The sequence below is a fragment of the Homo sapiens genome, chromosome 2 (assembly GCF_000001405.40).
Source record: "Homo sapiens chromosome 2, GRCh38.p14 Primary Assembly".
Taxonomy (NCBI): Eukaryota; Metazoa; Chordata; class Mammalia; order Primates; family Hominidae; genus Homo; species Homo sapiens.
The window spans coordinates 87191668-87208096 of NC_000002.12; the positions used below are offsets into that span (position 1 = coordinate 87191668).

Here is a 16429-nt window from a genome sequence, read left to right on the forward strand (position 1 = left end):
AAATCCTCTTTAAAAATTCTCAGTATTTGTCACCATTTCACTGTCACTCCTTTGTTGACCCTTTTGGAAGTCATCCTTGCTCCTTTCCCTCCTTCCCTTCTCTGCGATAGCTGACCCATTGCTGATGCCTTTCAGTCCTCATCATAGATATTTCTTGAATTTGTCCACATTTTACTATTTCTACCTAGAACAGAATGATGATTTTGTGCCTGGACCACTGTTATAGCCTCCTAAATAGCCTCCTTGCTTTTTCTCATCTCCATTCCAACCATCTCAATTTAACTGACAGAACAGTCTTTTAAAGAATAAACTGATGTAACACTCCTGCTTAAAGCTTTTCAATGGCTCCTGATTCAGCTGTGAAAGAAATCCCTACTGTGTGGCACCAGGACCTGTGTGACCTGCAAGGCGCCTGTTTTCCTCAACAAAGCCTCTTTTATACCACTTGCTCCCCACACCACCCTGGCCCCTTCCACTTGCTCAAAAACACTGAGCTCCTTTTCACTGTGGGGCCATTGAATATGCTGTTTTCCCTCCCTAGAACCTTTTCCTCTCATTCTTCACCTGCCCAACTCATATTTATCCATGCAGCCTCAGTTTTAATGGCATTTCCTCCCAGGCCTTCCAAGACCACTCTCCCTCAGGCAGCTTTCCTGACATCTTTAGCCTGCCCGCTCATGCTCTCTACCTTTTTTCTGTATCAAAATGCCTTTGTTTGCAAGTAACAGAAGGCCTGACTTAACCTGCCTTTAAACAGTAAGGACACAAGTATGCCTATGTTATTAGAGGTCTGCAGGTAAGGCACGTAAAGGGTCATCTTTTTCCAGTGTCTTCAACTCCATTTCTCTGAGGTTCCATCAGCTACATTCTGTGCCATGACTTTATCCTCAGTGCATTTTTCAGATGGTAATCAAATGGCTGTAACATGTTCACCTCTAGCTCAGCATGATACTCAGAGGAAGAATAGAGTTGCTTCTAGGAGTTTTGTGATGAGAATGAGGGAATTTCTTTCCCTGGAGCCTCCAGCAAGCTTGTCATTAAGTACCTCCTCAGGTTTCTGGCTCGAGTTGCATCTCATGCACACCTCTCAATCTATCCCTGTGGCAGAGAATGTCTCTTATTGAAAAAATGGCCTGGGTTTGCCTGTCTCTGAACTAACACTGCATCAGGAGAATGGGATTGCCTTGATCACCCAAGATCAGTGATTCTCAAAGTGTGGTTTATGGAGCAGCATGACCTGGGCACTTGTTAGAAATGGAGTTTTTCTGGCCCCACCCCAGACCTACTGAATAAGAATCTCTGTGCTCTGTGCATGGAGTGGGGCCCACTCATCTGTGGTTTAACAAGCCTTCCAGGTGATTCTGGCACATGTTAAAGTTTGAGGACCCCTGGCCAAGACTAGTAAGGATCTAGTTCTGGAGCTGAAGTCAGTCCCATCAAATATAATATATGGTGGAGGGTAGGGTGCGACAAGGGGTATTTCGGGGAGACAACCACAGTGACCACTGCACCTTTATAGCACTCATCACAATTTGTAATTATGCATTTGTTTGTGTCATTATTTGTGTAATATCTGTCTCCCCCAACAACACTCTAAACTCTACAATGACAGGGACTCAGTCTAGCTTGTCAGAGTAGCCTCAATACCGGCTATAGAACCTGCTTTATATATGCTGAGCGTTCAATAAGTTCTTGATGAAAAAGTAATAGAAGATATTTCTTGTGCCTCTCAGTTCTGTCATCAGTTGGTTCCGTTCCATTTGTTTCTCTCACAGTCGGGGGTGATATGTGTGTGCACGCCTACCTCAGCGGGCAGCCCTTGGAGGAATCACAGCTGAGCATGCTGGCCTGCTTCCTCGTCTACCACTCTGTGCCAGCTCCACAGCACCTGCCACCTATAGGACTAGAAGGTAATTGCATATCTAAGTCTTATCTTCAGTACCTCTGTTACCTACCCCTTTACGTTCTAGTTTCTCAGTAGTTACTGCCCCTAGTTTGACTTTCCTCTTCATTAATGTTGCAGTGTCATTGTTAGGGACTGTTTTGGAGCAAAAAAGAAAAAATTATCAACTTTATATATGAATAACTTTCATTTTTATTCAGAAAAGGATGGATTCTTCTTCACAGAGCCCCAAACACTGATCTATACTAATAAACTAAATATTCCATATTATTCTTTACTAATTGATTTTTTTATTAAAGCTATTTTTCTTTATTTTCTAGGTTTTCAGTTGGGTTTTTTAGAATCACATATAATCTTAATTTCTAATATTACAAAGCTTTACAACTAATAAATACCTAATTTTGTGTTTGAATTTTTTTATAATAGTTTTAAAAATTAATAGTATTATCACCTGATTGTATTTTTCAGAATACAGAAACAGATAAAAAAAATTTATCCATTAAGCTGAATACTAAGATATGATGAATTCTAAGCACCCAATTTTTCTGAGATTCTCAAAAAAAATATTTTCTGATAAGGGCAAAGATTGTTCCATTTAATCATTTAAACTTGAAGTTTAATTACATTACTAGTTTTTTGCTGTTTTGCAAGCCTCTGATAAAAGTTTACTATCTAGAGACTTCTGGTTATGGCCATGATGGAATTGCTTGTATTGGACTCACTTGCCCTCAAAAACAAATATAAAAGCTAAAAAAAAAAAAAATAAGAAAAGGGAAGTACAACAGGGAGAGCTTTATATTCACCCTAGCTTCTCCCCCAAAGGCATTTGCCAGTTCATAGTACAAGAAGTAGAGTGCCAGCAAAAAGCAGCAATGCTGCAGGGCTGAGGAGCCAGAGGTTGGGTTTGTGATTGCCCAAGAGCCTAGAACTTGAGGAACACAGTCTCAGGCAGGAGAGAACGATAGAAATCATAACTCAGACTCTGGATATACCTTTCCCTTGAGTTACTTAATGATATTTTAGCCTTCATATACATGGGATAAGACTTCAAGAGATCTAGCAGAAGCCACAAGGCCAAAAATGTAAGCAAAAATGTCAGCAGCAGCATAGGACTGAGGAGACAAAGGGTGGAATTCAACGCTTGTTAAAGTGAAGTGGCTCTGATCAGCATCCCAGCTCCTCAGGTGAATTAATACATGGCCAAGCCCTAAGCCTGCTCTAGCCTAATTTTAGATCTGGTCTGCTTCAGTTTCACTCCAAGCAGACTTGACCTACAATTAGCCTAGAGCAGAACTAAGGTGATCTGTGTGCTTTCTCCCCACCTGACAGAAGAAAATGTAACCTTCATAGGAGAAAGAAAACATACCCAGAGCCCCCACAATTTTTAGTCTACAGGATTCAGTGTTGAATCAAAAATTATGAAACATAATAATAATAAAAAAACAGATAATAGAAACAGACTTATGTGTGATTCAGATATTGGAGTTATCATACTGGAACTTAAAATAACTATGTCTAATGTTTCCAGGAAAATAGAAGGAATGATAGGGAATTTCACCAGAAACCTGGGGTCAATAAAAAAGAGTTAAATGGAAATTCTAGAACTGAAAAATATAGTAACTGAAATGAAGATCTCAGTATTGGATTATTTGAAGTGAACTGGAAGACACTTATCTGCTGGAAGACAAGTAGAAAGTAAACAAACTGAAGCACAGAGGGAAGAATGGTTAGGAAATACAGAGAAGAGTACAAGAGACATGTGGAAACCGTGAAAAAAAAAATAAACATGCATGGGGTTGGAATAAGAGAATAAGAGGAGAGAAAAAATGAGTTAGAAGCAATATTTGAAGAGACAGAAGCTAAGAATTTTGAAAAATGGTGTTAAATATTAACCCACAGTGAACCCTAAGCAGGATAAATACAAAGAAAACCATACCTAGTCACATTAATAGTCAAACTACTAAAAGGAAAAGGAAGACATTTTAAAAGTATAGACTTCTTTTCAGGCCAGGCTGGACAAACAGGGTTGTTCAATGGTCAACTGTATTAGAACCAGTAAAATACCACTTAGATAGTATTTGAAGGTAGACAGGCACTTTTGCACATTATATTTAAAGAATTTATATATATATATATATATATATATATAAAATTAAACAATATTAGTAGTTTCACATGTAGTTATAGGTCACTTTCTGAAGTCTAGAATGGGTAAATTCTATCAAATCATATACAGGTTTGAGTATCCTTAATCTGAAATCTGAAGTGTTTGAAATCGAAAACGTTTTGAGCACCAACATGATGCTCAGAGGAAATGTTCATTACAGCATTTTGGATTTGGGATTTTTGGATTAAGAATGCTCAGCCGAGGCTGGGCGCAGTGGCTCATGCCTGTAATCCCAGCACTTTGGGAGGCCGAGGCCGGCGGATCACGAGGTCAGGAGATCGAGACCATCCTGGCTAACACGTTGAAACCCCATCTCTACTAAAAATACAAAAAAAATTAGCTGGGCGTGGTGGTGGGCACCTGTAGTCCCAGCTACTCGGGGGGCTGAGGCAGGAGAATGGGTGAACCCAGGAGGTGGAGTTTGCAGTGAGCCGAGAGAGCGCCACTGCACTCCAGCCCCGGTGGCAAAGTGAGACTTCGTCTCCAAAAAAAAAAAGAATTCTCAGCCAGTAGGTGTAATGCAGATATTCCAAAATCTAAAAAAATCCAGAATCCAAAACACCTCTCTCTTCGGAAGCATTTTGGAAAAGGGATACTCAATTTACATTACAGTGTATTAAGGAATTTCATAATTTTAAATATTGTCTTTGCATAGTCATTTTCAAAGGGAAAAATGCCTGTTTTAAACATGATTGTGTTTCTGAAGCTTCCTTGAAAGGAGAGGTATGGCTGAATTTATTTAGAGATGTGACCTTCCCACCCCATTTCCATTTTAGGGAGCACAAGCTTTGCTGAACTGCTCTTCAAATTTAAGCAGCTAAAAATGCCAGTGCGAGCTTTGCTGAGATTGGCTCCTTTGCTTCTTGGAAATCCACAGCCAATGGTGATGTGACCGTGTCTGGCGGTGAACCTACCCTGAAACGTGACTTCTGCACAAAAAACGTGACCAAACATCAAAGCTAAAGCAATGTTTATAAAGTTTTATGGTATAACTAGGGGGAAATGAGCTGCACAAACCTCAATGTATTTTAAATCTGTTGCTGTCATCATTAACGGTATATGACATATAAAAGCAAGTTAAAATTTACTTTTGTAAATAAAGTTTTTGGTTTGTTTCCAAAACTCTTGATGATTGCTTTAGTTTTGGACTTAGAGAATAGAGCAGGGGTTGCTGGAGTGAATATTGATTTTTAAAGTCTTTGAACTGTGGTGGTATAGGTGAAGTGACTAAGCCCAAAAATGCCAAGTTTTAAAAGAAGCTATGTCATAAAGTTTTACTTTCTGTGGCAAAAGAGCGCTTTAGCATTTCCTCAGATGTCACAGTTGTCCTGTCTAAAATAAGTTTGTACTTCTGGTGACAATGCCAGACACTCTTATGATGTGATCACCTTAAACAGGAGAAGGAGATTTTTGCCCTCAGTTGCTCAACATGAAGTACTGTGGACTGAATTGTGTCCTCCCAGAATTATATATTGAGGCCCTAATCCCTGTGTGACTGTATTAGGCAATAGGGCATATAGGAGATTACTAAGGTTAAGTGAGGTCATCATAAGGGTGGGGCCTTAATTCAGTAGAATTGGTGGCCTCCTAAGCAGAGGAAGAGAGATTTTTCTTTCTCTCTCTGCCATGTGAAGACAGTGAGGAGTCGGCCGTCTGCAAGCCAAGAAGAGCCCTTATCAGGAACAGACTTGGCTAGCACCTTGATCGTGGACCTCCAGCCTCCAAAATTGCGAGAAAATACATTTCCGTCGTTGAAACCACCCAGTCTGTGGTATTTTGTTATGGCAGCCCAGGCAGACTAATACGTGAAGCCTGCTCTAAATAGATAAAATAAGAAATTACTACAGAGGGCTCTTTAGAAATTGTATTTAAAAACAAGACAATCCATATTTACCTAAGATTTACAGAACGTATGTCTGTAAAAGGAGGGATTTCTGGACTAGATGATGGTGAAAAATGTTCATATAAAGGCACCTCCAGCTTCGAGTTGCCAACACAGGAGGAAGAATGCTCCCTGCTGTTCAGATGCTGATATGTGTCCTGTGCTTCCTGGATGGCCAGTGGGATCATAAGCTGGTAGAAGCAAGATCTTCATCCACTGACTTCATATTTCTTCCACATCCTGAACTGTGGTGTTTGACTTTAAAAATAAATTAAAGCAAATAGAAATGTTTCCATTGAGATTTTGGCAAAAACCCACATGACATTTGCGTCTGCAGAGTAGACTTGGAAGGCATGCACCTGGAGGCCAAGTGGTATTCTCTGGACTCTCTGTCCTTGCATTTGCGTGGCTGCCCCGAGGACTCCCTTCTTCCTGGATGTGAAGCAGAGGCACGGTGGGGCTGACTGAGAGGCTGAAATGTGCTTCTCTTCACAGTTACATAGTTTTCTTCTAATTAAAAATAAATTTTAAGTGGTAGATTATGAAAATTCCATTTGAATCAAGATTTTAAAAATTCAATATCAAACCAGTTGTTACTGTCTTCACTCTCCGTTGTTTACGATTGTGTGCTTTTCCCTGAATAAAGAATGACTGGAGAGACATTAGTTGTTTGCACACATATTAACTCATACCTAAGGGAGAACAGCTTTTAGAACATTGTCGATGAAAGCAAATATCAGCTTTAAAAGAGAGAGGACAGAAAGACTGCAGATGGTCTGGAAGCAGCATTTTTAGGCCATCTGATTAGCTAGCAGGGAGCAAAGGGGAGGCTGGGAAGTCAGCCCTTGAGTAGGCCTGCTGGATCATCAAATAAATCAATTGCAGCTATTTTTGGGGCCTCAAAAAATCCTGAGGGTATGGCTCTCACCATCCAGAACCTGCAGCCTCCTTAGAGCCATGGCTCAAAGGGAAGTGCTGCAGAAAAACATTTGGCTGTTAAGTGTTTTGGCCCAAAAATAGCACACATCATTTCCTGTTAAAGCCTGTTGGCCCGAAGTAGTCACACTGCTCTACCTCATGTGCCCAGGACTGGGAGGAGAGGCAGACGCTGGTGAGGATCTTATGCCAGTTACATCATGGTTCCTAACTTACTAATTCCCTGTGCCCATCTTTTCTACTTAGATAGATAGAAATAGGTATCATCGCTTCCATAGACATAATTAAAGAAACCATACAATTTACACATACACTCAGAGTGGTGGTTCTTTCCCCAGTAGACGCTGACATCTGCGTTCCTCCCTTGCAGGTCTTCTGAAGGACCTAGCAGGAGACTCAGGTTGAAACCCTACAGAACCTCGCCGTGTGCCGCCGAGTCTTCCTTGAATAAGGCCATTTTCTCACCCTTTGTCTAGTAACTAGCTGACTCCACAGCTCATGGTAAGGGGCATGTCTCAGCTCAGGGGGTCTCCTGACATCCCAGAGGAAGCAATAAGGTGGGGGTCTTTCATCTCTCAGCCTGATGATCTGTGCACACCCACTTGGTGGGAGGCCAGGGTGCCTGTGGGCAGATGGGTCAGAGTGTGGGCCAGGATTTGGAGTAGAAGCCAGAGCATGTGAAAATCCAAACCAGGAAGACTTCGTTGCCTCCCGCATGCGGGGTTGAAGGCCTCTCTTCTGTGGTCTCCCATCCTCATGCTGATCAAATTGGGGGGGAATGTCTCACTGTGTGAGGATCACCCCAATTAAGCTGTGGGGGAGGACACAGAATCTGATCCCCTCTGTATCCTTAGCGCATGCTACCTCCAGCCACCAGGGGAAAGAAGCAGAGGTGAGGTGGGAGAGGTGGCCACTCTGGACGGTGTAACTGGGCTGGCTGCCTCTCAGCGCCCACGAGCACCCCACAGATATCCACGCTAGTGTACAAAGGTTCCCAAGTGGTGGCCTTTTCCTGCTTCCAAGGGCTGCCCGGGTTCCCCCCTCTCTGAAATAGATTGGTTGCTTCTCATTACATCACAAGCTGCAGAAAAAAAATTTAAATAAAAAGCCTCTACAGCTGTGTCCTTAACTCTTACCTGTGGATAAGGATGGACTTGCCTGCCCAACATCCTCTATCTTATGTCTTTGGGTGAAAGGGAAGCTGGAATGGGCAGTAGGGGCTGCTTGGGGCAGTCAGGACCTTCAGGCTTCAGGCAAGGAGACCCACTGATCAGACACCTGCATCAAATATTGGTGCTGACAGATCCCTTAGATGGCACCGGTCCTGCCCCTCCTACAGTGAGATCCCTGTGGCTCAGGGAGGGAGGTTGACTGCCCCAAAGCACCCATCACAACCCTAATGAAGCTGACTTTCAACCACACTTCCTATACTCCACCCTGAACCGGGTCCAGTACTGCCTGCATTCCCAGTCCAGCAGACTCTTAGGAGAAAGCAGTGATTAAATGTAAGTTAAAAGGACTTGGCACCAGGAAGAGTTTATGAACACATTTGAGAAGCAGACATACTAACTCTTCTTTACACCTTTGGAAAAGCAAAGGCTTTGTGTAATTGGAATTTGATTAACTGAATTAATCTATGTGTTGCTTTCTTGGTCACATTATAACAACCACCTTAATCTACATTTTTTTCTCATAGCTAAAAAGATTTATTCCTATTTCATATGGTACATTATTATATGAAATCTTAAAATAAGTTATTGATTGATTGAAGCAGAGTCTCCCTCTGTTGCCCAGGCTGGCATCAGTGACATGACCATAGCTCACTCCAGCTCACTGCAGGCTCAACTTTCTGGGTTCAAGCGATCCTCCTGCCTCAGCCTCCTGAGTAAATGGGACTACAGGTGCATACCACCACACCCAGCTAAATTTTTAAAATTTTTGTAGAGATGAAGTATTGCTATGGTGCCGTCTGGTCTCAGACTCCTGGCCTCAGGTGATTCTCCTGCCTTGGCCTCCCAAAGTGCTAGGATTACAGGTATGAGCCACTGCACCCAGCCTAAAATAAAATTTTTATACTAAATTCAATAAAATATATAAATAACTGGAAAGTCTTAATTCTCAGTGCTTGCCTTGTCTCTGTAGTTAAGGGACCTGTCACACTCAGGCACTCTTCCTTGTGATGCTGTAGGCCATGTGCTTTAAGAACTCAGGCACACTAGCTCATTAGGGGAGCTTAACATAAGGATGGAGGTTGGAAGCTAGTTGGTGCCACTCGTGTTTCTTTCATTTGTCTTACGTTCGTTTTTGTGCATATCAAGAATATTTTAGACCAGGCGTGGTGGCTCACGCCTGTAATCCCAGCACTTTGGAAGGCCAAGGTGGGCGGATCACCTGAGGTCAGGAGTTTGGGACCAGCCTGGCCAACATGGCAAAACCCCGTCTCTACTAAAATATATATATATATATATATATATATATATATATATATATAAATTAGCCAGGTGTGGTGGCACATGCCTGTAATCCCAGCTACTCGGGAGGCTAAGGCAGGAGAATCACTTGAACCAGGGAGGCAGAGATTGCAGTGAGCCGAGATCATGCCATTGCACTTCAGCCTGGGTGACAGAGGAAGACTCCATCTCAAAAAATAAGAATATTGTAAGTGCTGCTTACTGTACCAATTCAGAAATTAGGGCAGTTTCATCAGCTGGAAATGTGGATAAATGTATGCAACTCTAAAGTTGAAGGAAGATGCGTTAGCAAATCCATCATGGTTAGCATCCCTAGCTGCCATCTGCCTGCCCCGTTGGATCTAGAGAAGATGAGGTCAAACCTTTCTCACTCCATGTTCTATGCAAATTTCTGCAAATCCACAGAGCAGGGTGTAGGTGCTGTCTCCAATGTCACTTCCCTCCAAACTCCCTGCTCTGTTGCACTAATTCATTTGTGGTTCATCTCACTGTGCCCCATGCGTGGGCTGAATGTCAGTCAGCTTGGCATCTTCACTGCCTCCTTTTGTCTCTCCTTAGCTTCCAGCTGTTTTCCCTATGTAGTGTCAGATGAGAGTCTTCCAGTGGGAGATGCCCATGCAGGGCCTGGAGGATAGAGGAGGAGGTGAAGCCTTTACTCTCCTGCACTGGCTACAGCAGACACAGGGCAGATGGCATACTCCTGACTGCAGGAAGCTAATACCAGCTGTGGCAGGTGTCACCACTCCTGAGTTTCTGGAAGTTTACAGGAGCTTCTCTGTCCTCTGCTTCCTTCATTTTCCTGTTTGGATCTCTGAGCAAAATCCATGACCCCTTGAGGGATGCAATGCTCAGATGTAAAGTCGTCCCCATCCTCGAGTCCCACCAAAACCACCCACTGCCACTCAGGGACTAGGCTTTGCTTCTAGAATTTCTAGCCCTCTGGTTACCTCCTCTGAGCTCCCAGTGCTGTTCACTTTTCCATTCTCAAATCCTCAGTTGTTCTCTAAAATGCCAGAATTTCTTTGCAATTTCCTAACCCCTGAACAAACTCACCTGGGTGGCACCAATCTCAAAGCTGCAGCAGTGGGTCTCACTATGCTTTCAGTACAACCTTACATAAGTTCAGAGAAAGCCTGGACTGAGGAAATGAAAACCTGCCCTGCTGCTCATCAGGCTGGTGATTCTTTATCCAATCCACTGGTGGTGAGCCCGTGGGTTGATTCCATGTCTCTGCTATTGTGAATAGTGCTGGGATGAACACGTGAGTGCACGTGTCTTTTTGATAGAACAATTTATTTTCTGTTAGATAGATATACTCAGTAATGGGATTGCTGGGTCACATGGCAGTTCTCTTTTACGTTCTCTGAGAAATCTCCACACTGCTTTCCACAGTGGCTGAACTAATTGACACTCTCACCAGCAGTGTGTAAGTGATCCCTTTTCTCTGCAGCCTTCCCAGCATGTGTCATTGTTTTACTTTTTTAAAAAACAATAGCCATTCTAACTGGGGTGAGATGGTCTTTCATTGTGGTTTTGGTTTGTATTTCTCTGATGATTAGTGATTAGTGATATTGAGAATATTTTCGTGTTTGTTGACTGCTTGTATGTCTTCTTTTAGAAGTGTCTGTGCGTGTCCTTTGCCCACTTTTTAATGGAGTTGTTTTTTGCTTGTTGATTTAAGTTCACTGCTTCTTTGTTGTGGGAGGGGGAAGGCGGGGATGGGCGGGAGCTACAAGAAAAGAGGCATCCCCTCAGACACTGGGTTAAAGAAGGAAGAGGCTCTATTCAGCTGGGAGCATTGGCAGACTTGCGTCTCAAGAACCGAGCTCTCTGAAGAAAGAGTTCCTGGCCCTTTTAAGGGCTTACAACTCTAAGGGGTCCACGTGAAAGGGTCATGATAGATTAAGATCTATAGATAGCACATGTGGTTAGAGTGCGGGGTTAATCTTTTTCAGCTTTTACTTCCTCCTTCTCTTCAGAGACAGGAGACAGTAAGAGAAATGGCCTCTCTCCTCATTCCCCCCTTTGAGAACCTCACTCACTAGTGGGAGTTCTCACTTTCATCTTCACTATCCAGGTCTTCCTGAGAGACAGCTGAGGTCTTTTGATGAACTAAGGTGGTAACGGAGCCTCTTAGTGACTGGAGAAATATGGGTAATGTACAGGGGAGTAACATGCAGGTTCCTAATACTATTATTATTCCTATTATAAGAGTTTTAAATCCTCCTAGAGCTGGAAACCATTTTCCAAACAGGAATCCAGGATCAAGCCTATGCCAAACCTGCACGGGCACATGTGCCAGCTTTGTCATGTCTCTAACTATCCTCATGCTTCGGCTATGCATGGACCAGTCAGCTTCTGAGTGTGACTGGAGCAGGGCTTGTCGTCTTCTTCAGAGTCACTATGCAGGTGTTGTCCGGGCTTGGTCTCGCCTCCCAAGTCTCAGTTGGCCGGGAGCGTCCGCAGACTTGTGTCTCAAGAACTGAGCTCTCATCTTTTCCTTGAATGACCTGAGAGACTTTGTTAACATTTGTGGCCTTCTGAGCTCCCTTCTTTAACCCTTCCAGAAGGGCTTCCCTGTATGGGTTTAGCCTTTGCATACCCTGTCTTTCATTTGGGTCCCAGTGGGGGTCTGTTCCTGGTAATTGGATCCTCACATACTTTTGGGGGTTTTGGTAATCAGCTGGAACATGTTCTTCCACCCACTTAGTTGCTGCTTGGAGCACTCTCCTTTCATCTGTGTTAAAGAGGTACATGAGCAACTGGTGGCAATCAGCTCAGGTGGGGTTGTGGGTCTGGATAATAGTTTGGAGCAAACCAATTATAGCTTGAGGCTTTTCAGTATAGGATGGGGTATTGTTTTTCAGTATAGGATGGGGTATTGTTTTTCCAATTGAGGAGATCGACAGAGGTGAAGGGTTTGTACACAAAGGCATGCCTTTCCACTATATGCCCATCCTCATCTACCCAGTATACTGTTGCTTTCTCATGGGCATTTGTATCCCAGTTCTAGGCCTCAAATGGGCTGCCAAGGGAGGGGTTTCTCCTGAGGTCTCACATCCTGTCTTTTCTACCCTGGGTGGCCTAGGGGTATGTAGGCCTTGGGAAGCTCAGGCGCAGTGGCCTCAGGAGTGGGAGGCCTTCATTCTTGGTGAAACGGGGGGCCACTGGTGCCATTTCTTGCCATGAATCTTCTGATGTTGGGTCGGACAGGACTTCAGGAGCTGACTCCCCTCAGCGGGTGGAGCAGGATTCTTCTTTGGCTGTCTGTCCCTTTGCTACTAGTACTGCTGCTGCCTGTCCTCTTAACGACTGTGGGGGGTCTAAAACCAGCTGTAACCAAGTGTCTATGTACGGAAACTGGTCTGGGTGTCCTGGCTTACCAGTTACCTTGTGCCATACCTTTGAAACAAGGGGCCAGTCTAGGCTTCCTTCTGATGGCCAACCTACTTCTAATGCTGGCCAGTCTATCTCACACAAAGTTCTAAGTTTTCCTGGTGTCATAGTAACTCCATAGTCCCCATTAAATCCTTTCTTGAAATTTTTCAACATAGTTCCTAGTGGAGTGGGCTTACTTTGCGTTCCACCCATCTTCCTCCTGAGACAAAACAACACTCACACCACAAGAAGGAAAGTCTGAAGGGGTCACTCACTCATCTTGCCTGTCTCAAACTCAAGCACTCATTCACTTTCACTTTCCTTTTTGCAAACAAGTTAAGCCAAATCAAAATCAATATTGAGATCAAAGTGCCAATTGCAATCAAGTCAAGTCAAATCAAAATCAATACTGAGATCAAAGTGCTGATAAGGGCACATTGTGGGTGATCAGGCGACACTTCCACTCAAATGGAGCGGGCAAATTCCCAGGACTGGTCCTACTGTATTCCAGATGTCCAGACTCCAAGTGCCGGTTCCTTCCCGGTGTTCAGCTGCTGCATTGATCCTCCATGGGGCCCTGCCGTGCACTGCTGTGATGAGGCATTCCACCAGGGCAAATGCCTACCCGGCAGTGCTCTCAGGATCTGCATTGCTCAAGCTGGCTGGAGTCCCCCACAGGGATGCTCCGCAGGGCAGGCCAAAGCTGCCTAAGGGGCTCCCTCAACTGTCCATTAATCACCTCACTTCTGGGTCAGGGAACCAAGAAATGTAGCAGGACAAGCCGCAGACAAAACCCCTCAGACACCGGGTTAAAGAAGGAAGAGGCTTTATTCAGCCGGGAGCATTGGCCGACTTGTGTCTCAAGAACTGAGCTCTCATCTTTTCCTTGAATGACCTCAAAGACTTTGTTAACATTTGTGGCCGTCTGAGCTCCCTTCTTTAACCAGGTGTCTGAGGGGTTTTGTCTGCAGCTCGTCCTGCTACAGTGACACTTAGCCTCAGTCTCATTTCCAGTAGGGTCAAACTGATGACCTGACATACTTATTTTCTGTGCTCTCAGCTGTGTCTAAATATCCCTGTGAACCACTATAAATTCATGGGCAATCAAGCGTGGCCCAAAAATATGACCAGAGTGGCGCAAACCTGCCTACAATAGCCCTTGAAGCTGATTGAGGCAGTGCCTAGATGCCCTGCAAGAAGGCTGGTGACACCTACCCCTGTCTGAGGCATCTTCCTCATGTCTGGTAGATGCTCTCTTCCTGCTCCTCCCCCATTGTCCCTGGGGCTCCTCAAGGCTCTCGAGGCAGCCACTGATGGCCAGGTTCTCTGTGGGAGTTGGCTCTCCTGTCAGCCCTCCTTCCTTCTCTCTTTTGCCCACATTCCCTCCTCTCCTGTCTTCCCCCAAAATTCAAAAACTGTTTTTATTCCTGCTGCATCCCCAATCATTCATCTGGAGACTCACAGGTGGTCCCTTCCCCATCCCCTGAGACTCCTTGGGAGAAGATAGTTCAGGATCCGAGACTTGGTCTAGTACAGGAATGAGTGATAGCCACCCTGAGTGAGTGCCTTCATGGCTCTCTGGAGTTCCAGGCCCTTGAAGCGGAGCTTACACTTACCCAGAGTGCAGCCCATGACAGTGTGAAAGAGCACTGGCTGTAGCCAAGCGTTAGGGACCAAATGCTTCCAAGATTCCAGAGCGTTGGTCTAGATTCACTGATGTCATCACATCATTCCACGAGGAATGGCTCTTTGGTTTATAAAAGGCACTCAAGGAAAAGGCCATGAGCCTCACAGGGAAGGGGGTTAGTGTCCCAGCCCGAATGCTGGAGTCACCTGCTCTTACCCCAACATGACCTTCACGTGGGGCCTCATCTTGTGTTCAATCAAATCCATTAATGATTTCAAATGAAAATGTTACATTCACATAGCAGAAAATTGAGAATATGCAAAATTAAAAGTTGATTAACCTCTCATCTATACTACAAAGTTACAAATATTGTTTATTTTTATTGCCTTATTTGTGTTTAGTATCATATTAAAATTTAAAAATGTAAGCTTTAATATTTTGAGATAATCATAGATTCACATGTGATTGTAAGAAGTAACACAGAGGGGCTCTAGATACCCCTCATCAAAATTTCTCCAGTGGTAACAACTTGCATAACTATAGTTCAATATCACAATAGGAAATTGAGTTTGGTACAATCCATTGACATTGTTCAGATTTCATCAGTCTTATATACACTTGCTAGTGTGTGTGCATTTTGTTCTATGCAATTTTATCTCATGTATACACTTGTGTGACCACCACCAAGTTACAGAACAGTTGTATTATAAGAATACTTCCTATTACTTTTTTTAGAACTTCATCTTCCCTAATCCCTGGCAACCACTAATCTTTACAACCTTATAATTTTGTTATTTGAACAATATTGACCAGGCATGGTGGCTCACGCCTCTAATCCGGGCACTTTGGGAGGTCAAGGTGGGCGGATCACTTGAGCTCAGGGGTTTGAAACCAGCCTGGGCAACATGTTGAAACCCCATCTCTACAGAAAATACAAAAATTAGCCAGGCGTGGTGGTGTGCACCTGTAGTCCGAGCTACTTGTAGAGCCGAGTTGGGAGAATCACTTGAGCCCAGGAGGTCAAGCCTGCAATGATCTGTGTTTGTACTATTACTGGTGGTGAATCCACGTGGGTCTGCAGCAACCTCAGTTCTTGCCTCCTCAGAAGAAAGAATTCGACTGAAGAGCATAAGGCAGAAGAAGAGACTGGGGCAAATTTTAGAGCAGGAGTAAAAGTTTATTAAAAAGCTTTAGAGAAGGAACAAAAGGAAGGAAAGAACACTTGGAAGAGGCCCAAGTGGGCGACTTGAAGGACAAAAGTGCAGGGTTTGTTGGGGTTTGGTATGCAGGCATACTTCTGGGGTTTTGTGTTCCTTCTCCCCTGATTCTTTCTTTGGGGTGGGCTGTCTGCATGCACAGTGGCCTGCTAGCGCTTGTGAGAGGAGCATGTGCAGTGTGCTGACTGGAGTTGTATGCATGCTCACCTGAGGCATTCTTCCCTTACCAGCTGAATGCCCCTAGGAGGTCATACACCAGTTAAACTCTGCCATCTTGCCTCTTAGTCTGCATGTGTGAGCCTACTTGTTCAACTCCTGAGATTTTACTGGGAAGCTACTGATCACCAGGTTCAGGTGTTTTCTATTTATCAGGAAACTGCCTTTCTCTGGCACTGGCTGTAACCAATTATTATTTTAGAGAGACAGTTAACAACTGCTTGACCATCACCTGGTGGTTGCCTAACATTCCTGGTTTGGGGTTGTGAGGGGCTCTCTCCTGCCCTGCTCAGACCTGACCAGCTACCTACTATAACAGCACCACTGCACTCCACCCTGGGTGACAAAGCAATCCTGTCTCAAAACAAAAAGAAAACAAAAATGAAAAGCCCCCAGTATTACCTAAATGGAACCAGCCAGTATATAATCTGGGATTGGTGTTTTTCACTTAGCGTAATTCCTGATATCCAGCCAAGTTGTTGCATGAATCAATAGTTAATTCATTTTTATTGCCTAGTGGTGCTCCCAGTCATATGATAAGGGCACATTGACTTTGTAAGAAGCTGCCATACTTTGTTCTAGAGTGGTCCTGCCATTGTACATGCCTGCCAGCAGTGTCTGAGTGATCCATT

At 44.0% G+C, this 16429-nt stretch overlaps 1 non-coding gene and 1 pseudogene across 2 annotated transcripts in view; both read left to right on the forward strand.

The window, feature by feature from the left end:
- The window catches only part of LOC102724642 (anaphase-promoting complex subunit 1-like), a 71644-nt pseudogene extending 66452 nt beyond the window's left edge, over window positions 1–5192 (forward strand). Inside the window, exons 30-31 of the transcript NR_171620.1 lie at window positions 1776–1910; window positions 4847–5192. The product of NR_171620.1 is annotated as an anaphase-promoting complex subunit 1-like (transcript). The remainder of the gene's footprint in view (window positions 1–1775; window positions 1911–4846) is intronic.
- Window positions 3119–3192, forward strand: MIR4771-1 (microRNA 4771-1). Its single transcript, NR_039928.1, has one exon. It is a non-coding gene; the product is annotated as a microRNA 4771-1 (primary transcript).
- Window positions 5193–16429: the final 11237 nt, after the last annotated feature.